The following is a 27,431-nucleotide window of genomic DNA, read 5'->3' on the forward strand; positions in this document are numbered from 1 at the left end:
TTCATTGAGTATAAGCTTTCAGTATGTAATGGATACGTTGTCTTAGTGCAAGAAAGTGTTTTTCTATTTGTATTTTGCTGGTTTATTTTTTAAATCATGATTAAATGTTGGATTATGTCAAATGCTTTTCTGTGTTTATCAAGATGAGCATTATTTTTGTCTTTTTCTATTAATATGATATTTTACAATGATTTATTCTTAGATGTTAAACCATCACTGCATTTGCAAAATAATTTCACAAGGTTGAGGTATGTGATTCATTTTATATATTACTTTATTCAGTTTTCTAGTGTTTTTAGAGAATGTCTGTGTCTGCACTCATCAGGAGATAACTGGTCTGTCGTCTTAATTTCTTAAGATACTTTTGTCTGGATTTTGTATCATGCTAATACTGGCCTCATGGAATAAACTGGGAAGTATTCTCTCTTGATAATGAAGGATTGAATTGTTAGTGAAGGACTGGTATTAATTCTTCATTAAATACTTAGTCAAATTCACAAGTTTTAAAAAATTAATTAGTACAAATTTTGGAGGACATGGCTGTAAATGTTTATGATAATTTATTTTCCTAATTTTATGCGCATCTAATTTTGTCACCTTTTAGCTGTTAAATGCCATCTGCTCTTTTTATATGATCATTGATTGTTATCTTTCTATAAATTACAAAATACTATTTGTTAAAAGATTAAAAGGCTGATAATAACACTATTCATGTATTATTGACTCTAAACTGATTTTTTTCTCTTTTCAGATTGAACTTTAAAGACCCTAAGAAGTCTTGATTAGATCGGATTTTAAGGTAAATGTTGCATACAACATCTCTTAATGGTCTTCTAAGAAGTCCCTATGGATTCTAGCAGGACTCCTATTTTGATATTCTGTTCTCTCCAAGGTAGTAGTAACATACAGATATGAACTCAAGGTGGGAAAAGAATGAGGTAAGTTAGTTTAGATAAGGTAAACGAGAGGAGACAAAAATTCAATGAGAGTTTTTGCAAGTTGAATTCTAAGTAAACTTTGTGAATCATTTGGATTGAAAATGTGGCCTTACTTCACTCTGTAGTTACCAGAATTAGCCCTAAAACAGCTCATTAGCACTACTTGACACTTTGTTAAATATTCCGTATAAATTCCTACTTTCATAGACAGGGTTTTCATTTTAATTAGTTTCCACTGGTGTAGCATTCTTTCCAGAAGGAATGTCATTGTGGTTTGGATTATGGATTGATTTATCAAGTAATGAAGGTTACTAACAAAAGACCATCCAGGCTTACATCATCTCTTTCCATACTTCTAATTCAGAACATCAAATAAGTTTAACTTTTCCATCTTATTTGCAATTATTTTCTTAAATTGTGTTTTGTCAAAAAGAAAAAAAAAAACTATGTTACTCATCCTTCTCTTACTTAACCTTGGATTACATTTCAAAATGATGATAATCAGCAAGCTGTAGAAAGTGGTATATTTATAGCAATATGGTAACCAACTTAATTAAGTAATATAAAAGATGTATTGAAATATCTGTGTTCTTTCTCTTGATTCAGATAATTTTCTTCATGATCTGAATTACAGATGGAATTACAGAAGGAATTACACGGCTTGATTACTTTTTAAAGTGATTATTGAGCTCTTCAGATATTTATTGGTTTCTCCGGATCAATTATCCACATTTATAAAGTGCTATATCTAATTGGCAATCTATTTCACTTACACTTTTTAAATTGCCCCATTGTTGGTCAAATCGTGTTTACCAGCACCAGACTCCATTATACAAAATAATTTTATTTCTAAGTAGTTTCCTTAAAGCTGTTTCTCTGATTATATATGACAACTTTGATAGACTACAGTCATCGTACAGACTGAAGCTGCCATAATCATTTTCTATATTATGGAATCAGTCTCTATTCTTTATAAATATGGATCATAGCAACCAGTTAAGACTTGTTTTGCTACAGCATGGTTTACATTGTAGGTAAACTCAAGTGAATAGCAAAACAATAATATTGAGAGTTCAATAGATAATGAAAACCTAGAAAATCCAGATTATTTAATAATAGAATCTTAGAATTAAATGAGATGACTTACGTTAGAATGAAATTATATAATCACATCAGTGATTATCTAGTACAGCTTCTAACTAAAGCAGAAATATCTTCTGGCATGTACTTGACAGGGGCTCATTATTTTTCATTTTTTATTTATTTATTGAGACAGGCTCTTCCTCTGTCACACAGGCTAGAGTGTAGTGACATGATCATGGCTCACTGCAGCCTTGACATCCTGGGCTCAAGCAATCCTCCCACTTCAGCTTCTGGAGTAGCTGGGACTACAGCTGGCTAGTTTTCCTATTTTTTGTAGAGACAGGGTCGCACTATGTTGCCTGGGCTGGTCTCAAGCCCGTGGCCTCAAGCAATTCTTCCACCTTGACTTCCCAAAATGCTGGGATTACAGGCGTGAGCCATCACATCTGGCCCCATTTTTCATTTAAACAAACTCGATGGTGTAAAAAATCACTTGCTTATAGGACATCTCATATCTTGAAGCATCAGAGAGGTATCACATCCACACAGGTGAACTGTAGCCTTCAGAGCCCGACAGTATATGTTCAAATTCCATTTCTACTGTTTCCTGACTGGAAAGATGGGCACATTTCATAACATCCTGGTACTTCGATTTTGTGATGTGTAAAGCGGATTTCTATAAACATTAAATTCGTGTGGTAGGAGTTATGAAGAAATTATTTTAGGCAGAGAGGAAAAGGGGTCCTTGGAATGTTTTTGTTTCTTTTTAAAGCAGCTCAAGAAACGTTTCTTATCTAGCAGAGAAGCCCTGGCTCTTAGGGGCGGCAACCTTTGATATGCAAATGCAGGCCATTAGAAACTGGGTCCACCCAACACGGTGATTCTCACCGTTGTCCTCTTGCCCTTGCCCCCACGTGTCCCTGGCAACATGGCTGCCCCCACATATCCCTAAGTATGGAGCCCTGCATTTGCATATTAAAAGGCTAGGGTGGAAAGGCCAATTTTTTCCCAGGCTACATGAATAACATGGCTGGTCAAACCAATCCCCTGAGTCCTATGCAAATCAGACACTGCCTCCTCCAGCCTCCTCATAAAACTGGCTGGTATCCTCGGCACATGGGCTCTCCTTTCTCGGCTTTGGAGCCCCTCACTCTGTCTCTGTACAGGGGAGTTTCTTTCTTCTTTCTTCTCCCTTCCTTCTTGCCTATTAAACTCTCTGCTCCTTAAAACCACTCCACATGTATCCATGTCATTTTATCTAATTCGACTCCAGACGAAAAACCCTGGTGTTCCTCCACTCACTGGAGCCGTATCATTAGTAAATATGAGTAAAGACACAGTTAATATTATATAAACACACAGAATACTCTCATGAATGCAATAATATTTGTTAGAAAATTATTTTATATGTAAACCTAAATCTGTCTCTCAGTACCTTCCACTCATTCCTTCTGGCTCTGACTCTAAAACCATGCTATGCAAAACGTATCCCTCTTCTGTATTTCCAGACTCAGTCTTCTGGGCCTTCTTTTCTTTAGGCAGAGTGTTACTAAAGGCCTAACATACATGAATACTGTCTTCAAGTCAGTGGAGTCCTAGACTAAGATTCACATGTTTCTTCGCTTTTTGGCTGATTCGCTGCAGCACTCTTTTTATTTTTTTCTTTTCAGTTTTACAGATCTTCAGCATATATCATATTTCTTCACAAACTTGATGTCTTTATTTTAACAAAAGTTTAACCACGAGTTTTAGGGTAAGAAAAGTATGCCATATATGCAATACATATGCACACACAAACACACACACATCACATACACATTGTTGCCTGTGTATCCCATAGAGTACACATTTCTGAAGCACTTTTTCCCTAGACCAGCTTCATCAAAATAAATAGTAAGTAACTTATCACTTCACTTTCAGAAAGCAGGGTTGTTTGCATTTCTTCAGTACTTCTACCAAGACTTCAAGAGGCCAGAGATACTGATCAGGCAGGAAATTACACAGAGGGAAAATAACATACATGAGTCCTAAAAATGTAGACTGTAAAGCATTCAATATGAAGGATGAAACCTACACTCTGTATCTACAGGTTCTTTAGTTTATGGATACAACTTGCTGTAATATGCCCTTTTTCCATTTGTTTATACAAGTTGATTCATATAATCTGTGTGCCTCAAATTTGCATAGAGACTTTGTTACTACTCTCCTATTAGCTGTAAGACTCTGTATCTAACCACCTCGGCAAAAATTGTGACAGTGAAAGTAATGTGACCTAATTTCATCTTGCTTGTGACCTTTAAGCTGCCCTTGCTCATTCCTGAGTGTAGGCCAAGCTAACTATGGGAGGAATTTAGTTTATAGCTTAACCTCAAAACAAAGATGATAATGTTACGGTGGGGCCGGGTGGGGTGGGGTGGGGCGGTGGGGGGAAGGAGAGGGGTCCTTGCTCCCAGAGCTCCCAAGATGGTGGTGGGCTGCTTCCAAGACGGTGGCAAGCCTTGTTTTTTCTGACCTGGGGTTCTTGGCCTCACGGATTCCAAGGAATGGAATCTTGGGCCATGCGGTGAGTGTTATAGCTCTATTAGAAGCCGTGGGTCACAGAAGAGAACCATTGAACCCAGAGACTAGTGTTCAGTTCAATTAGGATGAACCCGGGCACTCAGCTGTGCAGGAACAATGGCAAGCCTTTAGCCCAGTCAGGAGCAGCAATGGGCGCCTCCTGGATCAGGAGCACAGCAGACACCCTGCTGGATCCAGAGGGATGGAAATCAGCGGTGGGTCTGCGACATCGGCAAACAGCAGTGGTGGACGGCAAGCAAAAGCTCAGCTCCAGCCGTAACAAACACGGACCAGAAGAGAGTGCAGCTGCAAGATTTAATAGAGTGAAAACAGAGCTCCCATACAAAGGGAGGGGACCCAAAGAGGGTAGCTGTTGCCGGCTCGAATGCCTGGGTTTATATCCTGATCATTATCCCTCCAGCTTGCTCTCAGGCAATAGATGATTGGCTATTTCTTTACCTCCTGTTTTTGCCTAATTAGCTTTTTAGTGAGCTCTCTTTACCACCTGATTGGTGGGGTGTGAGCTAAGTTGCAAGTCCCGTGTTTAAAGGTGGATGTAGTCACCTTCCCAGCTAGGCTTAGGGATTCTTAGCCTAGGAAATCCAGCTAGTCCTGTCTTTCAATAACAGTCCCTTCCTAAAATAAACCCCTTCCTTCCTTGGGGATCAGACTTCCTTTGAAACTAACAAATTGGCCACAAGATTAGAAATTATGGCTCAGGAGTCATGCAGCCAGAGGCCACAAGATTCTTCACCTCCCCAGTTGCTCCCATAGGTAACATTGCTATTATAAAACCTAAGATTGGTGTTTGAGACATTTTTTCAGAGCCTGCATTGTGATGGACCAGCTGGCACCACCCAGGCTGGTAACCTGGTTTATCTGGTCTCAAAAGCTAAAGCTCCAACCCAGGAACTGACTCAGTACAAGAAGTCAAGCTCCTCTATAACTGCCCAAGGGGTTCACCTTGCCTGTTGCCTAGACGGAGCCAATTTATCAAGATAGGGGAATTGCAATAGAAAAAGAGTAATTCATGCAGAGCCCGCTGTGCAGGAGACCAGAATTTTATTATTACTCAAATCAGTCTCCCTGAGCATTCAGGGAGCAGAGTTTTTAAGGACAACTTAGTGGGTGGGGGAAACACAGTGAGCCAGGACTGCTGATTGGTCAGGGATGAAATCATAGGGAGACAAAGCTGTCTTCTTGCACTGAGTCAGTTCCTGGGTGGGGGCCACAAAATCAGATGAGCCACTTGATCAATCTGGGTGGTGCCAGGTGATCCATCAAGTGCAGGGTCTGCAAAATAGCTCAAGCACTGATCTTAGGAGCACTTTAGGGAGGGCCAGAATCATGTAGCCTCCAGCTTCATGAGTCATAAACCATAATTTCTAATCTTGTGGCTAATGTTAGCTCTACAAAGGCAATCTAGTCCCCAGGCAAGAAGGAAGTCTGCCCTGGGAAAGGGCTGTTACTGTCTTTGTCCTAAACTATAAGCTATAAACCAAGTTTCTCCCAAAGTAAGTTCAGCATACGCCCAGGAAAGAACACGGACAGCTTGGAGGTTAGAAACAGGATAGAGTTGATTAAGTTAGATCTATTTCACTGACTCAGCCATAATTTTGCAAATGTAGTTTCAGCTCCAACTCCCTGTGATTTCATCCCCAACCCAACTAATCAGTATTCCCCATTCCGTTGCCCTCTGCACACCAAACTATACTTAAAAATCCCTAGCCTCCAAATTTTTAGGGAGACTGATTTAAGCAATAATAAAATGCCTGTCCTTCAACTTAGGCAGTTCTGAGTTTACTAAACTCCTTCTCTATTGCAAAAGGCTGTTCTCAGTGCATCAGGTTTTCTGGGAAGCAGGCAAGATGAACACATCAGGTGATTACATATACAAGTTATTTAATTTCTTGCTGCCACTTCTGACAAATTATGTTTAGAAACAAGCCTTCTTACCTCATAGAACTTGGGTTATCATAAGCAAAAGAAACTTTGAAATTTTGAAATTGTAAGCAGACAGGGAAGGTCTCCAGGGATTATAGGAATTTAATCAACTTTAGCAATCAGCCTGTTTTACTGCCTTCTGCCCTGAAGTCTGTTTTTTTCCAAACCCTATGTGGAATGCAGTTACCTTGTTGATTGGAACCAGCTCCTGACAGACCCCAGCAACTTATAGATGAGTCTGAGTGAACTTCCCTTGTTACCATGCTGAAGTCTCCACCTGGGAGAAGCAGTAGCTTCATTACCTTAACATGCAACCTGTGAACTGGCATAATCACTGGCTGCTTCTGCACAACTGGAACCCCTCCTCTACATGTGGTGACGCACCCTCTCCCTATATATTGCCCCATATAATCCTCTTGTCACTTTCCCTCGAGGAGACAGTGCTTTGGAGAATACTCTCAGTGTTCTCCTTACTTGGGCCAGGTAATAAAACTCCTATTGATCAAAACCTTCATTCTTGTGGAGAGTTATTTGTTATCAGGCAAATAAACCCTGTTTTTTGGGGAAAAACAAAATTACTCTAAAACCATAAAGTAAAAAATAAAATAAAAAATTATCAAGACAATAGCTGTTAACAGTTCTGAGAAGATTCGCGAGATTCAGGGGTTTTTGAACTTTTTTTTTAATCATCTAGAATATTTGGGTATACCTAGTAGTTTCTTTCCACAGCATTCAAACACAGGATCTGGGAAAGTAACCTGTATCAGATTTGTTAGATTTTTCTCTAGCTCTCAGAGGGCAAGAACTAAGCCTTCTCGTCAGGGAACTTCCACAAAAGTAAATATTTGATCATGATAATTAAATAAATGTGTAACCCAAGAGTCAAAAACGTGAATCATCAGCATAATAGCTCTGTGCTGCTTCTACCTCTAGTCTGAGAAAATCCACCTTGAAATATTAAAATTGTAAGCAGACAGGGAAGGTCTGCTTACAATAAAAAAAAATTAGGATTTTTTTTATTACAAAAAGACTAATATTAAACTGTAGGAGCAAAAGGAATTTCCTTCCCTCCCTTTTCTGAAGGTTTGATAACTTTATTCTATAAACCAAACTTAAAATAGACAGATTAACAGGAGAAGGGCACACAAATATATTTATACATACATGAACATAGGAGCCTTGCAAACATGAAATTCAAAGGACAGAACAGATGGCTGAAGTTTTTACACCATCCTGAGGGGACAGAAAGATTAGGGGCTTGAGGCTTCTAGAGGAGGGAGGAGGTGGCATTCCAAGAGAATGATGGGAGGAAAGCATGGTGTGAAAACAAGTAATTCAGAATCTAAGCTGTTGGAACTTTCAGATATTTTGAGCCTTAAGGGAATGTGATTATGGGACCTGAGTCATGTGACAGGCAGTTGTAACGCAGGCAGCTGTAATCTTTGTTGTTTTGGTTATCAATTAGCCTTTTCTTTACCTACAGTGTTTTATAAAATGTGGTAAATGACAGAAGGTTGCCAGAGAAGACCCCTTCCCTGTTCACTGTTGATCTTCATTGTAGATTAACTTTCCTCTTTCCTCTCTTACACAAAGACTTCATTACTGTCACATTGTCTAAGATGGAACATTAAATATGCTTTTAAATTGGAAAGGATATGAAAACAAGCTGTTAAAAAAAAGTTAGTTGTAACTCATAAACGAGGCTTATATAGAAAATGTTATAATCCTACTAACTGTCCTTGTTTTCTGCTAATATAAGGAAGAACTTAACTTTTAACTTCAGAGCACTGACCCCATTTCTCAGGAGTCCATGTTTCTTGGATAGTTATTCTCAGCTTTTCACTTAAATAAACTTTTTAAAATTGGGTTCTGATCCTGTCAATTATTTCAGGTTGACAATGGCAAGCAAAGTTTTTCTTATTATGCAGATGAAAGCTCATTGGTAGCAGCTCTTGGTATAGATAGGAGCCTGAGGAAAAAGTTTTAGTCTCCTTTGTTTGTGAGTTAATCTTTTCTAGATGTGGATAAAGGCAGATAAGGGATGGGGCTCAGAGAAAGCCTGTTTGTATTCACTGTCAACTTCACTTATGTAGATTTCCTCTACAGTTGCAAATCTTCCTCACAAAAGGACAGCTTGTAAAAGGTATTCCTATGGTCTGCAGCCTCTCTGAATAGCCACATCAAAATATATTAAAGACATATATTTGAAAGTGGTGTATTTTGGTTTCCTTCAGAATCAAAACACATTAATATTTTTAGGATATAAGAGAATTGCCACTATGCAGTAATCCCTATAGTACTTTGGCAATGATAGGAATATTATTGCCTGTGATGCTACACCTTACTTTTGCTCTCTTTATCTTATGGCACTTGGTGAGCCTTCAGAAGGTTTAAATGAAAAATTGAAAGCAGATGGCCCTTTAAGAGAGACTTTATGTATTAAAAAAATTTTATTTATTTAAAAGAGACTATTGCTTCTGCTATTTCAAGCCACCTTGAAGGGAAGCCTGAACAGTCGATCAACCTGTTGATGGAATGCCAATTTTATTACCATAAAGTAGTGCCTCAGGAAAAACTAATCAGAACTTTCATGAGAAATGCCCCAGATACTCTAGGGTCTATAGTAGCAGAGATCCCTAAACCAATGTTATTTGTTGTGGTTCATTGGCAAGCATTATCTTTAATGAGCTGGGTGAAGGTTTCCAATGTTCTGTATGTGTTTTCACTATGAATGAGACAGGGTTTCACCATCACTTTTTCATCCAAAAGAGATTCATTCATGCCATAAACATACTAGGCACAGGTGATAGAATGGTGGATACATAGGCACAATCTCTCTTCCAGTGAAGTTTATGAAATAATAAAGTGGCAGTTCCCAAAGCTGGGTTCTGGATCAATAACTAAGTTGTTAGAAAAGAAATTTCTCAGGCCCCACTCCAGCCAGACTTCCTGAATCAGTAACTCTGAGGATGGTGCCCAGCAGTCTTTCTTTTTTCTTTCTTTCTTTTTTTTTTTTTTTTTTTGAAACAGAGTCTCACTCTGTTGCCATGCTGGAGTGCAGTGGTGCGATCTCGGCTCACTGCAACCTCCATCTCCAGGTTCAAGAGATTCTCCTGCCTCAGCCTCCCGAGTAGCTGGGACTGTAGGTGTGCACCACCACGACCAGTTAATTTTTGTATTTTTAGTAGAGACGAGGTTTCACCATGTTAGCCAGGATGGTCTTGATCTCTTGACCTCGTGATCCACCCGCCTAGGCCTCAGCAGTCTTTTTTTAAGAGCTTCCAGGTGGGGAGTAAGACTCTTTCCTTTCTGTCTGGTGGCAGCCATCAGGTAGGCCAAGATAGGTGCTTACAAGTACATCCAGGAGCTGTGGAGAAAGAAGCAGTCTGATGTCATGCACTTTCTTCTGAGGGTCCGCTGCTGGCAGTACCCTGCTCTCCACAGGGCTGGCACAGAGTGGCAGCTCTCTGCTCTCCACAGGGCTCCCCGCTCCACCCAGCCCGATAAAGCATGCCGACTGGGCTACAAAGCCAAGCAAGGTTACATTATATATAGGATTTGTGTTCGCCGTGGTGGCTGGAAATGCCCAGTTCCTAAGGCTGTAACTTAACGGCAAGCCTGTCCATCATGGAGTTAACTAGTTAAAGTTTGCCCAAAGTCTTCAGTCCGTTGCAGAGGAGCAAGCTGGACACCACTGTGGGGCTCTAAGAGTCCTGAATTCGTACTGGGTTGGTGAAGATTCCACATACAAATTTTTTGAGGTTATCCTCATTGATCCATTCCATAAAGCTATCAGAAGAAATCCTGACACCCAGTGGATCACCAAACCAGTCCACAAGCACAGGGAAATGCGTGGGCTGACATCTGCAGGCTGAAAGAGCCGCCGCCTTGGAAAGGGCCATAAGTTCCACCACACTATTGGTAGTTCTTGCTGCGCAGCTTGGAGAAGGTGCAATACTCTCCAGCTCCACCGTTACCACTAATATAAGTAAAGTTTGTAAAATTCATACCTAATAAACAATTTAGGGCAGTCATGTCTGCTTACAGGTGTTATTTGTTTGTTAAAACTAGTCTGCAGATTGTTTCATGAATGCTTTGTCAAATTATGAAAGTTAAAGTGCAATAATGTTTGAAGACTGTAAGTGATGGTGTATCTTATTTCTAATATGATAAACTTTTTGTTTTTGCTTTATCTTATTAGGGAGTTATATGTCAGTGGTGTTATGATAGGTTCAAAATAAATTCTTTAAAAGAGGAGTCAAAAAAAAAAAGCTTCCAGGTGATCTGAGACAGGTGCCACTGAAACAATGAAACTAGATATTGAACAAAACATTACAATGTTGTCAATGTAATTAGCAAGAAGAGGAAACCCTTACATCTAAAACACTGGTTTTCAACCACAGCTCTACATAGAAAGATCACTCAGGAAGCTTTAAAAGAATATCTAAGCTGAGAATTCAACCCCAGGGTTTTGCCTGGACTAAGAACTCAAGCATCATTATTCTTAAGAAGATCTCCAGGTGAATCTCATGTGTATCAAAGTTTGAAAAGCATTCAGCTTTGCAACTCAAACTGTGGTCCATGGTCCAGATGCATCATATCACCAGGAAGCTTGTTAGAACGGCAGAATCTCAGGCTCCATCCCAGACCCACTGAACCAGAACCAGCATTTTTAACAAGACCCCCAGGTGATTGCTATATGCATTAAGGCATGAAACACTGGTTTAAAGAGTTTGTGATTAATTCCTCTCTTCTGAGGCATCTGTGCCCCTAATATGAAGTAATAGCACACACATTATCTATCACAGCCTGAGTGTGGTGTGATGTGCCTAGGGCATCTTTGGTTTGTCATGAAACATTTTTTGTGGTTTGTTCAATGCCTGAGAAGAGTTCTCTGGGCATATAAAAATATTCCTATTAAAGATGTTTCTTTGGTTTCTAAACCAAAGAGGCATATAGTAATATGGTCCCATAGCCATTTGGGGGTGATTTTAAATAGAAAATTAGAGGGTTTCTTTACAAGCCTTACATGCAACTTGTAAGTCAAGGAATGTGTCTGGTATTTATCTCTATCTGGTAGTGCACTCTATTGTGTACTACCCAAGGATCAAGGTACTAACTAAGGCTAAGTTGTTGATTTCACTAGCTCTTTTAGTCATGCTTATTTTTATAGTAACCGTGCAAGCAAAATATTATTATGCCCATTTTTTCATAAGAAAACGGAGGTCCAGAGGATTACATTGCCTAAAGTCATTCAACTAATAGATGGCTAAGCAATAATTAATTCAAACTAAGCCACTGAGACCCCAAAGATCAAAATCTTTTCACTACTCCAACTAGATTGCTTTAATTCTGTAAGTTTTAGTGAAGCATCACATATATCCCCTCCTTTATACATCCTCTAAAATGTATAAAACGTTCCTCGTCTTCCTATGAATAAATGATAATTGATCGTAACTTTTCCAAACTATCTCTTGTCATCTGCTGTCATGCCAGATACCCTGCACTTGGTCCCAAGGTGTCATTCATCTAATTAAAATGCTTATTTTTGGAATAGTCAATTTTGAGTGTTAATAAACTATAGGCAAATTTGATGAGATATGGCATATTTTGGAATCAGATAAAGAACATTTATATGCCATTTCTGGTTCTTTCCTTATCTCTACCAAATTAATTCCATTATAAGCCTTGTCTGGCTACAGAATATTGAACTTTGGTTGTCTGTGTCTGTTTATAAATTAAAAGTATGACTTTAGAGTTTGCACATTATTCTGTACTTGATGTATATATGAAGAAAGCAGCAAAATTAAAGTAATAAAGCCTGTCTTTAAAAGGCATTTAGTTACTGTAGTTCTCTTTGGTGGAAAATGACCTTGGCTGCCTCTTTCATGCATCCTTGCATTTGGCTTAGGATGCATAATTCATACAGCAATCAATTAGCTGACTGTAGAGCCTGCAACAAGAGGGAATATTTCATATAAATCATTGCTGGCTAAATTGCTGAGACAATTAATAAAGTAGGAAATCTGTGGACATTAATTTGTAGGCAGCACAAGTTCATCAAAAGCAAATCAGTTTCCTACATATCTTGGAAAGAAATTGCACACAAAGAAAACACCAGATATCTTTTAGTCACCATTTATTAGGAAGGGTTTGATCAAGATTATATCATTTGTTGTTTTTATGAATGTGAACAAGTGCCTAACATAAGTGGCTCATTATGTTAGGTGGCTCATATATTTATTTGGCTTAGGGTACTCAATCAACAATGCCTTTGTATGAATTAAAATACAGCAATCAAATAAGTGTCCCTGCTTGTGCGGCATCTGTAATCTAGCACAGGGATCCTGAAAGTTAAATCTCTTGGAGGCCATGAGGGTTCACAGGGTGGCCAGCACATTTCTCCAAAATGCAAATCATCTCAGCATTCATTACTTGAGCTTCCAATGCTATTTCATCAATTACTTTTATGTGAATTCCACGTAATTTCAATAACTTCAATTTGCCTGTTTCATAGAAAGAAGTTTGCTTTTGACATGTATGCTGTCCTTTTTTATTTTTAAGATATTGCTAAAAAATATTTTCAAATCACATTAAGAACACAACAACATCTTTATAAATGACTGATTGCTCAGAGATGTCACATATGTGTTATTTTTATTAAATGAGAAATAAATGTAGTGGCCTTCATATACAGGTAAATGGTTATAATTTGGCTGCACATCAGAGTCACTGGAAGAACTTTTAAAACTTAGCTATGCCTGAGCCCGATCTCCTGTAGCTATTCATTCAATTAGTCTAGTCTAAGGCCGAGCAGTATTTTTTTAACTCCCAAGTTGAGTTGAATGTGCAGGCGAGTTTGGGGGACACATTTATTGATTGCATGGTATTGTATAGGGCAATGTGTCTCAAACTTGAAGCTGCATACACGTCACCTGCAATGTCTTGTTTACTTTTGGATTTTTATTCAGTAGGCTCAGGGTTAGAGCTGTGTGTCCACAACTCTAACTTTGGTTAACTTGAACTTTGGTTGTCTGTGTCATTCTGATTTTGCCGTAGGTGCTCCTGCTACTACCAGGCCATGCCATACCTGTTTGCAGGCTACTCTGACAGGCCTGATGACTGCCTCCTTTCCTTTGGCTCCCTTGTCTTTCATCCCAAGAGTATGCACCCTTCACCCACATGGTTTCTCTATTTCCTCTAAGTCAGTGGTTGCTTAGGCTGCCAGAAGCACTGGCCCTCATTCACATTACCTCCTCCCTACCGCAGAAAAGAGCTGGAAGTTTTTTGTTTTTTCTTTAAACAGAAGGCCTCTGGGCTTGGGTTACCATGCACACTAAAGTAGAGTACTGAAAATGAAGATTAAATGATGCCCTTGTACTGAAGGCTGATATTCTCCCAGCATTCCTCTTCCTTCATCAGCTACTCTAGTACTGGCAGCCAAGTCTTTACCCTGTAGGCAGGATGCTGGATGCATCTTCTCTGGGAGGCAGCACAAGAGAAAAGACCTAAAGAGATGAATATAAGGGGCTGCTCCAAAAAGCAACTAACCCAGATTTTCCTGCAGTGAATCTACAATCACCCAGTCCCACCTACCTGTTTATAGCTTCCTACAGCCTTTCCCACTACTCTTAAATCACAGGTTACAAAAGGATGGAGGGAGTCTTCTCATAAGAAAGATAAAAATTTTAATTTTAAAAACAAGAACAAAAATAAAAAAAAATTTGGAAGCAATAGACCATACAAAGAGGAAAAAAAATTTAAACAAAATTAAAATATTATCAATATTCCCAGAGATGGATATGACACCAAAATAACAGGAAACAAGAGCAAAAATGGACAAGTGGGACTAAACCAAAACAAAAAATGTTGTGTAGCAAAAGAAACAATCAAAGTGAAAAGGCAACCTAGAGAAAGGGGAAAAATATTTGCAAACTGTATCTGATAAGGGGTTAATATGTAAAATATATAAAGAACTCCTACAAACAAATAGCATGAAGAACAAATGACACAAGTTTTAAAATGGGCAATAGACTCACAGACTTGCAGAGTCATTTCTCCAAAGAAGACATACAAATGGCCAACAGGTATATGAAAAGATGCTCAACATCACTAATCATCAGAGAAATATAAATCAAAAACACAGGGAGATATCACCTCATACCTACTAGGGCAGCTATTATCAGAAAAACAAACTAGCAAATATTGGCAGGAATGTGGTGTAATTAGAATCCTTGTGAACTGCTGGCATCAGTGTCAAATGCTACAGCCACTGTGAAAAACAATAAATAATTTCCTCAAAAATTTAAAAATAGAGTAGTCCTATGATCTAGCAATCCCACTTGTGGTATATATCCAAATCAATTGAAAATAGGATCTCAAAGAGATATTAGCATTCCCATGTTTTTTGTAGCATTATTCACAATAGCCAATAGGTAGAAACAACTTAAATGTCCATTGACGGATGAATGGATTAAGAAAATAATACAACAAATTATTATTCAGCCTTAACAGTGAAGGAAGTCCTGTTATAGGCTACAACACAGATGATCCTTGAAGACATAATGCTAAGTGAAATGAGCCAGTAGCAGAAGGACAAATACAGCTGATTCCATTTATATGAAGTCTAAAGTATTCAAACTCATAGAAAAAAAGTAAAATGGTGGTTGCCAGAGGCTGGGAAGAGGGAGAAATGAGGAGTTGCTATTTGTAATGGATAATTTTATGTGTCAGCTTGAGTGGGCCACAGAGTGCCCAAGCCTGGCCACTGTCAGACTGGAACTTATATCCTCAGTTCTCCTGGCTCTCAAGCTTGTAGGATGCAGATCTTGGGACTTGTCAGCCTTCATAATCATGTGAACCAACTTCTTTTCATAGATCTCTTTATGTATATCTGTCATTTGGTGCTGTTTCTCTGGAGAATATCAACTAATATGCAATTTAATGTGTACAGAGTTTCAGTCATGCAAGATGAAAACCTTCTGGATATCTAGAATGTGCAGACAGTTAACACTACTGTATACTGAAAAGTTTGTTAAGAGGGTAAATTCCATGTTATGCGATTTTTCCATAAGAAAAAAAATCTCAGAAAGATACAAAAAGATGTAGTAATCATGAAATATGAATGGTTGGTTTTATTTTTTAAAGAAATACAGAGGTTAGAAAATAAAACCAAGGACATTTCTCAGGAAATAGAGCAAAATATGAAGGAGACAAAAGAGAAAGGATAAAAAAATTAGAGGATCAGTTAGGTAAGTCTAATATCTTACTAACTGGCATTCCAGAAGAGAAAACAATGATAGAAATGATGATATTATCTAAAAAATAGAAAATTTTCCAGAACTAACTGACTTATGTTTCCAAATTGAAAATATACTCCAAGTGCCCCACCCCTTGTATTATGAATGAAAATAGGCTCATGCCAAGAGAACCATCATGAAATTTCAGAACACTGGGCAAAGAGGAGACTCCAAGCTTGCAGGGGATGGTGCAGAGGGGGGAAATGATATATAAATATTCAGGGTTGGGCACAGTGACTCACATCTGTAATCCCAGCACTGTGGGAGGCTGAGGCAGGAGATCACCTGAGGTCAGAAGTTCTAGACCAACCTGGGCAACATGGTGAAACTCTGCCTCTACTAAAAATACAAAAATTAGCTGGGCGTGGTGGTACGTGCCTGTGGTCCCAGCTACTCAGGAGGCTGAGGCAACAGAATCACTTGAACCCAGAAGGCGGGGGTTGAAGTGAGCCAAGAACATGCCACTGCACTCCAGCTTGGGCAACAGAACAAGACTCCATCTCAGAAAAAATAAAATAAAATGAATTTTCAACTTGAATCAAGAAAGTAGCCATATTCCTTTCCCTTGCTAACAAAAACACAACCTTTATATCAAATGACTTTGGACTTCTAAACAGTTTCATTAGAAGCAGGATAATGATAGAAAAATGCTACAAAAATTACAAAGAAAAATGTTTTCCAGTTGCATTAGCTTTCTGTGGCTGTTGCAACAGAAGTATGCTCAACAAGTTGAGTATCCCCAATCCAAAAATCCAAAATCCAACATGCTCCAAACTTTGAAACTTTTTGAGCACTGATGTGATGCTCAAAGGTCATGCTTAAAGGGAATTCTCACTGAAGTATCTCATATTTTTTTATTTTCAGATTAGGAATATTCAACCAGTATGTATATTCAAATATTCCAAAATTTGAAAAAATCCCACATCCAAAACACTCCTAATCCCAGGGATTTCAAATAAGGGATACTCAACCTATAGCACAAACTGGGCGGCTTAAAACACCAGAAATTTATTCTTTAAAAGTTCTGGAGCCCAGAGGTCTGAAATAAATTGCAGGGCTATGCTCCACCCCAGGGAAAATCTGTTTCTTGCTACTTTCAGCTTCTGGTGGCTGCCCATATTCCTTGGCTTGTGGCTACATCCATCCAATCTCTGCCTCTGTGGTCACATTGTTTTCTCCTCTTCTGTCTGCATCAAATGTCCCTCTGCCTCTCTCTTACAGGGATTACGTGATTGCATTTAGGGACCACCATTATAATCCAGGGTAATCTCCCCATCTCAAGAGCCTTCACTTAATCACATATACAAAGACCTTTTCCTTATAAGGCACTATCTTCAGGTTCTAGGGATTAGGATCTGATATATTTGGGTGGTCACTAGTCAGTCTACAACATCAGCTAAGCTCTCAATGGTAAAGATAGGAGTATTTCTAATCTGCCAGTCTCAAAGACATTTGCTTCCTAATCACTCTTCTCAGGAAACTTCACAAGGATGGGTTCCATTTAGCAAGAAAGAGAAACACCAGGGATACAGAAACAGCAAATCCAACACAAAGGGAGGTGACAGGATTTCCGGTATACAGTAAGAGCAAGGGCCAGAATAAGTTTTGTGTACCAGCCAGGACAACCAGTACAGATGCGTGCTCTGGAGAAGGCATCTGAACAAGTTGGAGCTAATAGAAAACAGGAGATTGATGACTAGCAGAGAGTTTGGGGTATAATACATACATAACTTCAAGTAAAATAACTAATACAAAATTGGTATTATCCATAAGCATTGGCAAAAATGAAGGAAAATTTTCCTACCACAATCCTAAGTAGATGTTCAAAATAAAGTCTAACTCACCCCAGCATATTGTATGTTCTTTTTAATCAAATAGATAGCATTGGTATATAAGAAGTAAACACTGCAATTATTAGCTTCTTCTCCTAGAAATAATACAAAATGCGTAACTGAGACAAAGACTATGTAAAAAGTGAATAATCATAGTACCCAGGGTTTTTTTCATTAATGAAACCAGTAAAAATATAGAGTAGATTGATATTTCTGACTGCTTTTTACAAAGTTTGAATATTCTAAGATAAGAAAGTAGACAAAGGAGACAAAGAGAAATTTAGATGAACACACAGATAAAGGAGAGAAGTCTCTCCTAGTTTGCCACATGTAGGAAATAAATACTGATGTCTTCAATATTTCTTTTATATATATATATTTATTATACTTGAAGTTCTAGGGTACATGTGCACAACGTGCAGGTTTGTTACATATGTACACATGCACCATGTTGGTGTGCTGCACCCATTAACTCGTCATTTACATTACGTATATCTCCTAATGCTGTCCCTCTCCCCTCTTCCCACCCCACAACAGGCCCTGGTGTGTGATGTTCCCCTTCCTGTGTCCAAGTGTTCTCATTGTTCAATCCCCACCTATGAGTGAGAACATGCAGTGTTTGGTTTTTTGTCCTTGCGATAGTTTGCTGAGAATGATGGTTTCCAGCTTCATCCATGTCCCAGAAAGGACATGAACTCATCCTTTTTTATGGCTGCATAGTATTCCATGGTGTATATGTGCCACATTTTCTTTGTTTTTTTTTTTTTGGCATTTTTAATTTAGGTTTGTTTTATTTAAGTTTAATGCTAATTCCATGCTGTGTTTCAGTAAGAACAATAAAGATTCTGTATCTGTGGTTCCAGTCAGATATCCAGGAGTACAAATTAGCTTCAAGTTACACATACTGAATAAAAGAGATTGAGCGAGCGAAGGAGGGGAGGAATGAGGGGAAGGAGGTAGTGGGAGGGGGAAGGAGAAGAAACAAAGAATTGAACAGGCATGCAGGCTTTTCCATACCACCTTCAACGCTAACCTGCTTCAGTGGGAGAGTAAAGTAGGCAAGAATGAGCAGCCATGGATGGTTGAACTGTTATCGGCACCATGCTTTTCAGCAACATTTCAGCACAGTTTGAAACATTTTTTACAGCAAAACCATTACAACTCCCTCCCCAAACGACCTGTAACCATCTCAGGCTAACACCCAATTACTTTCAAACATTGGTATAAAATACAGTTTAAACAATTAGAAAAATGAAAACTGATACCACTTATGCCTCTATAGTGTGATTAACCTCTCTTAGATGCTTGCATTACCTAGAAGTCTAATGGCTTTCAAATGTAATTTCCATTTCTAATGGTGATCTTGCCACATCTGGCACAGAGACAACACAGTAATGCTGAAAAAGCCTCCATGCAGTCCTGTTAGTGTCTTAAAGAACCTAAAAGCTGGGACCAGTAAAATCCACAGAAATTCACTCTTGCCTTTAAGAACTTTTGAAAACTGTTTTTTTAAAAAAAAAAAAAAACAGGGAAGGAACCTAAATTCTGAGACCAAATGTAAAAGTCAGATTTGGTGGTTCTCAGTGACAATGGGGAGTTTCCAAGGGGTGGGATGGGGAGGAGGGGGTGGTCAGAGATGGTTTCTCTTGTTGGCTTATGTCTCCCTGATTTTTGTCTTCCACGTCCTGCAGCACTTCTTTATTCTGCTCTTCACCATCACCCTGCATATCTGAAGTCCATAGTGTCAGATTATCACGTAACAACTGCATGATAAGTTTACAGTCCTTATAGCTTTCTTCACTCAGCGTATCCAGTTCTACAACTGCATCATTGAAAGCTGCTTTTGCCAACCTGCAAGCACGGTCAGGGGAATTAAGAATTTCGTAGTAGAATATGGAAAAATTGAGAGCAAGACCTAAGCGAATAGGATGCGCTGGTGGAAGTTCTGTCATTGCAATATCACTAGCAGCTTTATAAGCCACTATGCTGTTCTTCGCAGCCTCCTTCCTGTCATTTCCTGTGGCAAATTCTGCCAGATACCTGTGGTAGTACCATTTCGTTTTATAATAGAAAACCTTGGACTCGCCAGTGTTAGCTGCTGCAATCAGATGTTTGTCCAGTACATCCAGAATGTCACAACAGATTAACTTTAGCTCAGTCTCAACCATTTGCTGATATTCCCGAATCATTTCTAGCTTGTTTTCTCCTCCCTTGTTTTCTTCTTTCTGTTCAATGCTGCTGATTATTCTCCAGGAGGTTCTTCTAGCTCCAATCACATTCTCATATGCAACAGATAGGAGGTTTCTTTCTTCATCTGTCAGCTCCACATCCATCCCTGCTACTTTCTTCATTGACTCCACCATTTCATCGTATCACTCAGCCTGCTCGGCCAGCTTCGCCTGGTACACCAGATCCTCTCGATCATCCACAGCAGCAGTGGCTCCAGCAGGGTCTGCGTGACTGATGGAAGTGGATAGTGTCTCTAACTCTCTCAGCCTCTCGCTCCGCGTCCAGGCCTATATGCCACATTTTCTTAATCCAGTCTATCATTGTTGGACATTTGGGTTGGTTCCAAGTCTTTGCTATTGTGAGTAGTGCCGCAATAAACACACGTGTGCGTGTGTCTTTATAGCAGCATGATTTATATTCCTTTGGGTATATACCCAGTAATGGGATATCTGGGTCAAATGGTATTTCTAGTTCTAGATCCCTGAGGAATCGCCACACTGACTTCCACAATGGTTGAACTAGTTTACAGTCCCAACAACAGTTTAAAAGTGTTCCTATTTCTCCCCATCCTCTCCAGCACCTGTTGTTTCCTGACTTTTTAATGATCGCCATTCTAACTGGTATGAGATGATATCTCATTGCGGTTTTGATTTGCATTTCTCTGATGGCCAGTGTTGATGAGCATTTTTTCATGTGTCTGTTGGTTGCATAAATGTCTTCTTTTGAGAAGGGTCTGTTCATATCCTTCCGCCACTTGTTGATGGGGTTGTTTGTTTTTTTCTTGTAAATTTGTTTGAGTTCTTTGTAGATTCTGGATATTAGCCCTTTGTCAGATGAGTAGATTGCAAACATTTTCTCCCATTCTGTAGGTTGCCTGTTCACTCTGATGGTAGTTTCTTTTGCTGTGCAGAAGCTCTTCAGTTTAATTAGATCCCATTTGTCAATTTTGGCTTTTGTTGCCATTGCTTTTGGTGTTTTAGACATGAAGTCCTTGCCCATGCCTATGCCCTGAATGGTATTGCCTAGGTTTTCATCTAGGGTTTTTATTGTTTTAGGTATAACATTTAAGTCTTTAATCCATCTTGAATTAATTTTTGTATAAGGTGTAAGGAAGGGATCCAGTTTCACCTTTCTACATATGGCTAGCCAGTTTTCCCAGCACCATTTGTTGAATAGGGAATCCTTTCCCCATTTCTTCTTTTTGTCAGGTTTGTCAAAGATCAGATGGTTGTAGATGTGTGGTATTATTTCTGAGGGCTCTGTTCTGTTCCATTGGTCTATATCTCTGTTTTGGAAGCAGTACCATGCTGCTTTGGTTACTGTAGCCTTATAGTATAGTTTGAAGTCAGGTAGCGTGATGCCTCCAGCTTTGTTCTTTTGGCTTAGGATTGACTTGGCAATGCAGGCTCTTTTTTCTTTCCATACGAACTTTAAAGTAGTTTTTTCCAATTCTGTGAAGAAAGTCATTGGTAGCTTGATGCGGATGGCATTGAATCTATAAATTACCTTGGGCAGTATGGCCATTTTCACGATACTGATTCTTCCTATCCATGAGCATGGAATGTTCTTTCATTTGTTTGTGTCCTCTTTTATTTCTTTGAGCAGTGGTTTGTAGTTCTCCTTGAAGAGGTCCTTCACATCCCTTGTAAGTTGGATTCCTAGGTATTTTATTCTCTTTGAAGCAAAACTACCATCAGAGAATACTATAAACACCTCTACCAAATAAACTAGAAAATCTAGAAGAAATGGATAAATTCCTTGACACATACACCCTCCCAAGACTAAACCAGGAAGAAGTTGAATCTCTGAATAGACCAATAACAGTTTCTGAAATTGAGGCAATAATTAATAGCTTACCAAGCAAAAAAAGTCCAGGACCAGACAGATTCACAGTTGAATTCTACCAGAGGTACAAGGAGGAGCTGGTACCATTCCTTCTGAAACTATTCCAATCAATAGAAAAAGAGGGAATCCTCCCTAACTCATTTTATGAGGCCAGCATCATCGTGATACCAAAGCCTGGCAGAGACACAACAAAAAAAGAGAATTTTAAACCAATATCCCTGATGAACATCGATGTAAAAATCCTCAATAAAATACTGGCAAACCGAATCCAGCAGCACATCAAAAAACTTATCCACCATGATCAAGTGGGCTTCATTCCTGGGATGCAAGGCTGGTTCAACATATGCAAATCAATAAACGTAATCCAGCATATAAACAGAACCAAAGACAAAAACCACATGATTATCTCAATAGATGCAGAAAAGGCCTTCGACAAAATTCAACAGCCCTTCATGCTAAAAACTCTCAATAAATTAGGTATTGATGGGACGTATCTCAAAATAATAAGAGCTATTTATGACAAACCCACAGCCAATATCATACTGAAAGGGCAAAAACTGGAAGCATTCCCTTTGAAAACTGGCACAAGACAGGGATGCTCTCTCTCACCACTCTTATTCAACACAGTGTTGGAAGTTCTGGCCAGGGCAATCAGGCAGGAGAAAGAAATAAAGGGTATACAATTAGGAAAAGAGGAAGTCAAATTGTCCCTGTTTGCAGATGACATGATTGTATGTCTAGAAAACCCCATTGTCTCAGCCCAAAATCTCCCTAAGATGATAAGCCACTTCAGCAAAGTCTCAGGATACAAAATCAATGTGCAAAAATCACAAGCATTCTTATACACCAATAACAGACAAACAGAGAGCCAAATCATGAGTGAACTCCCATTCACAATTGATGTCTTCAATATTTCTTACTGCCCCTTGCCTTGCTATCCTCTTTCAAGACTCTCCGTTAAGGAGCAATGCTTTTTTGACAATGGTGGGGGTTGAAAGATGTGAAACGGTTAAAGCAAAACTGCCGCTACTCCTGCTGACCCACTCCGCAAAATCCCTAAATTCAGAAAGTGCATTCAATCCAGGCCACGATAGCTCATTTCTAATATTTCACTTTCCCTTAAGAGAAATATGTATCAAAAGAAAATGAATCTAGCCTTTTGACTAAAGCTGCCTTCACTGACACTGAGAGTTTGTATTGCCTCTCTTTTGGTGCCCCAGAGATTTCAATATGCAGCGTTCCACATTAAGAATCAGAATGAATGAGAGGAACACCTTCTTTTATTTGTTTTCTTTTGCTTGTAAAGAAAAAGAAGAGTGATTGTGAAAATGGAAATGGAGAGGAGAAACAGAGGGATGACTCACCTGCAGACATGTTCCTGAGGGAGGTCATCTGGAGGAAAAATTCATATGGGTGTTGTGGATCCGGAAATGGACTTGTTTAAACTCTCAATGTGCATGGTACACCTTCTTGCACATCCAAGGACCCATGTACCTCAGTTGGAAGCTTGGTGGTTTGGAGAAAGTTCCTGGTTCAACAAAGGTTAGGAAGCGGGGAGGTTTCAAGACCTGGAAGTGGAATCTAGACTACAGGGAGCCGGGAAAGAGTAGAAGGAGAGGAAGCTGGGAGTAGACAGTTGCAAAACCCTCTCAGTTCTCTTAGGCCATACTAAGAATGTTGGTCTTTACCCTAAATCAGTGGGAATCCCTTGAAGTAAATAAAGGTAGAACAAGATCAGATTGACATCTTAAAACAGAATAAAATATGGACTTCATTAGGAAGTACAGGCAGAAGGGAATAATTAAGAGGCTTTTAATTATGGGAGTCAGTCCAGGGAAGAATAGTGGAAGTGGTAATGGAGAGAATCAGACAGGCTTAACAGATATTTAGAGAATATAATTGATAGAAATGGATGAATTATTGGATATTGGAAAGATGAAGACGAAGGTGTCCAAAAACGATTTCTGGGTTTCTAGTTTGCAGGTCTCGAGAATTTTTCATTATTATTATTTTTTTTTCTGAAAAACCTATAATTGATATAATGGGAAATAAAAAATAAATTTTTAAAAAGAATAAACAAAAATCTTCAAAAATAGTATCTATATTTAATATCATGTTTACAATGTGATCATAGATAAGATAATAATTTTTAAATGAGAAGACTGATATTTGATAACCTGCAAAATGTATTTTTAAAAAACCAGGTGTTACACTCTAAGTATCTTGCTTTTGAAATATAACATTGGCGACTAGTTGTGGTGGCTCACGCCTGTAATCCCAGCACTTTGGGAGGCTGAGGGGGGTGGATCACTTGAGGTCAGGAGTTCGAGACCAGCCTGGCCAACATGGTGAAATCCTGTCTCTACTAAAATACAAAAATTAGCTTGACTTGGTGGCACGTGCCTGTAATAACAGCTACTCGGGAGGCTGAGGCAGGAGAATCGCTTGAACCTGGGAGGCAGAGGTTGCAGTGAGCTGAGATTGCAGCACTGAACTCCAGCCTGGGTGACAGAGTGAGACTCCATCTCAAAAAATTTAAAATTTAAAATATAAAAATCAAAAGCAAGATAACATTGGCTATATCTCAAATGGCACCAATGCCATTATCCTTCCACTACAACCCTCATAGCAAGACCATTTCTTCAGTGAATAGTAGGCCTCCCAGCGTAAAAAATCAGCTCTGAATGCGTAGAGAAAGTAACTAAATTCAACATCAGTGTTATTTTTTGACCTATGCAACTGTCACCATATGAAACTGAAAATAATATGTATTATCAAATTCTCTACTTTCTTGCATAGTTCATGTGATCCAAAGAATCAAATACCACATTGCTGAAAACACACCATCAATTCTCATGTGGTTATTTTGCAATTCAGTTTCTTTTTCTCTACTTTTACGTAACACATAAAATTTTCATATAGTTGAAATGAACTGTGCAGAGGAAAAGGTAAATGCCAGCAGGCATCTAAATATTGTAGCATCTGTTATATTTTACACTCTGTAATCACAAATTTTATAAGGCTTCATTGCATTTGAGGTTGGATTCTTCACAAATTATTGAAGATTGATAGCTGCAGTAATTGTCATTACACTTATATTTTATTATATCGAATTACATAAACTTCTACCTTTTTGTGATATTTTTCTAGAGAACAATTCATGATGTCTGCTTTGTATTTTCTTGTAAATGTGTAAAATTTATATGATGTGAAATTAGCATCTTCCAATTAAGGTATCCCAAATTTGGAGGGTGTGTGTATGTGTGTGTGTGTGTATGTGTGTATGTGCACATGTGCTAGTATATGTGTGCCCAGATTTGAACATGTGTGTGCATGAGTGCATGTGTGTAGCATTGCTAATTATGAAAAAGCCTTTTCTAGATAATTAAAAACAATGCCTTTCTTTTAAGTTTTAGACCTCTAAGTTAACATGATCTTTTTCTCTCTTTTTAACCACTTATTAGAGTTCATCTCATCTGCTTACTTTCAAGGTTAACAGTTATTAAGCATCTACTGTGCACTTGGTACTATTCTAGTATTACTATGGAAATAAACTCTTGTAAAACCTCATTTAACTTAAAAAAGACCCATATGTGATAGGTAAAATTAACTTCATTTTATAGACAAGGAGAAGTCTCAGAGAAAGCTACTAACTTTGCCCAGTGCTATTTAATCAGGTCTCTAACATTGGTCTACCTCAGGGCCACTGCATCTAGTCGCCCATGTTGTGTATCGCACAACTCCAGGAATGCCACTCACAGAGCCTATTATATATATGGCACCCCTTGGAGCTTTCCAGTGCTACAACCCTAAATCTGTCTTGAAAATCTAATATATTTTTTACTGCACTATTTTACCACCTCACTAACTCATTCATATTAAAGTAGCAGGAGTAGAATATAGTTGGGTAAAAAAAATAAGAAGAGTCAAGTTTCACATTGCACTTCTTGAAAACACCACAAATGTTTCTCCATAATTATTTTACATTATTCAATCCTTAAAGCAACAACTCTCTCATATTTCCATTCTTATACAAAAAAGTAATTTATGATCATGTGTAAATAACCTAAGTACAAGCTAAACTATCATTATGGACTGCCTTCATATACTATGTACTGTGAAAGTTTTTATTATGACGGCATGAACAAACTAGCCTGAAATGATCTTTTGACACTCAGAATGAGTCATGTATTGATACGCAGGCTGGCACTCATTTGAGCAGGAAGTATGCCTCCCAAGCATCTTAATCTACTTATAAACTTCTACCTTAATTCAAAATTGTACATCTCTAAATGATTATACCGTACATAGAGTATGCTTTCCAAAGAAAAGACGTATTAAAATAGTGAACATCTGCAGAGACATGGTTAAATGAGCAAAGACAATTTGAAAGCATTTGCTGTCCTAATTCCTAGCAAGTTGACAGACAATGCCCCAAAACTCTCTATTGGATCCAGAATAAACTAATAAGCTAATCAGAGCATAACAAGCCTTTGCTAAGTGATTTCATAAGAGAACTGTAAGTATGTTTAAGCAGCACTCATGGGCATTTCTCACTAAACTTGCAAACTCATTCTGAGAAATATTGTTAAATATTGTAAATCCATGGAGTATACTATTCTCACTAGTGATTAGGGCTCTAGGGTACAGAGTAAAATGAAGAGGTATATAATTTCCCCCTGTGAACTCACAATGAAGTTCTTTCTAAGTGTCTCCTCAAAACTTCTGATCTTTAAGCTGTAGCATTGAGGTACCATTTACCTAGTTATTAATGAGGACTCTTCAGGGACTTATGACCATGAACAATTTGGTCATAGCTCTCTTAAAATGTTAAAAGTTCTTTTCTTAGGAAAAATCCTTTAGTTCAAGAATTTGTTGAATATCAAGTTTATGAGGCAAATCTAGAAAATTCTGTAGGAATACGGCAATTTGCTAATCAAAGTTATTATGTCATGCCTAAGGGAGCTTGTAATTCATGAAGCTGTCAGGATTCATAGCAATCAGTAAACAGAAAATTATTCTCATAAATAAATATTAATAATTAAGAAATATAAAAAGTGGTTTTCAAAATATCTAGTGACTGCACAAGCATTTGAGTTACTTTCATCTCCTTTGAGTGTTTTATTTCTCTTACGAGAATTATAAGCTGTATCAGTATCATGACCAAATATAAGAAAACCTTCTAGATCAAATTAACAATAGCAGATATAGTCTATTGCTGTATAGACAAAATAAGAATCACAGTAGAACAATTCTAAATAAATTATGGCTCTCTGTGTTCTCTAAATTAATAAAATGAAAATTTTAAAAATTTAGAAAAACCTATCAAGGTATTCCAATCCCCCTCCTCCTCTTCCTTTTTCTTCTTTCATTTTAGTTTTAAATTCAAGTTATAATCCAAGAAGAAATATGTATTTCTTGCTGTCCATTTTCATGCTGCTGATAAAGACATACCTTAGAGTGGGCAATTTACACAAGAAAGACGTAAGATTTGGACTTACAGTTCCACATGGCCGAGGCCTCACAATCATGGTGGAAAGCAAGGAGGAGCAAGTCATATCTTTGTGGATGGCAGCAGGCAAAGAGAGAGCTTGTGTAGGAAAACTCCCGCTTATAATAACCATCAGATCTTGTGATACTTACTCACTATCATGAAAATAGCATGGGAAAGACCTGCCTGCATGATTCAATTACCTCCCACC

The 27,431-nt window shown here is 38.3% G+C and overlaps 2 pseudogenes, besides 1 other annotated feature; one reads left to right on the forward strand and one right to left on the reverse strand.

Moving 5' to 3' along the window:
* Positions 2,605-3,278: an enhancer, noted in NCBI's record as "OCT4-NANOG-H3K27ac hESC enhancer chr2:139028884-139029557 (GRCh37/hg19 assembly coordinates)". NCBI's record gives its function as "activates a minimal SCP1, AML or CMV promoter by ChIP-STARR-seq in naive H9 embryonic stem cells {active_cell/tissue: H9 hESC(naive)}" and the evidence as "EXISTENCE:reporter gene assay evidence [ECO:0000049][PMID:30033119]".
* On the forward strand, positions 9,813-10,838 carry RPL15P5 (ribosomal protein L15 pseudogene 5; annotated as a pseudogene).
* On the reverse strand, positions 18,420-20,171 carry YWHAEP5 (tyrosine 3-monooxygenase/tryptophan 5-monooxygenase activation protein epsilon pseudogene 5; annotated as a pseudogene).

This window comes from Homo sapiens, chromosome 2, assembly GCF_000001405.40.
Source record: "Homo sapiens chromosome 2, GRCh38.p14 Primary Assembly".
NCBI classification, from domain to species: Eukaryota; Metazoa; Chordata; class Mammalia; order Primates; family Hominidae; genus Homo; species Homo sapiens.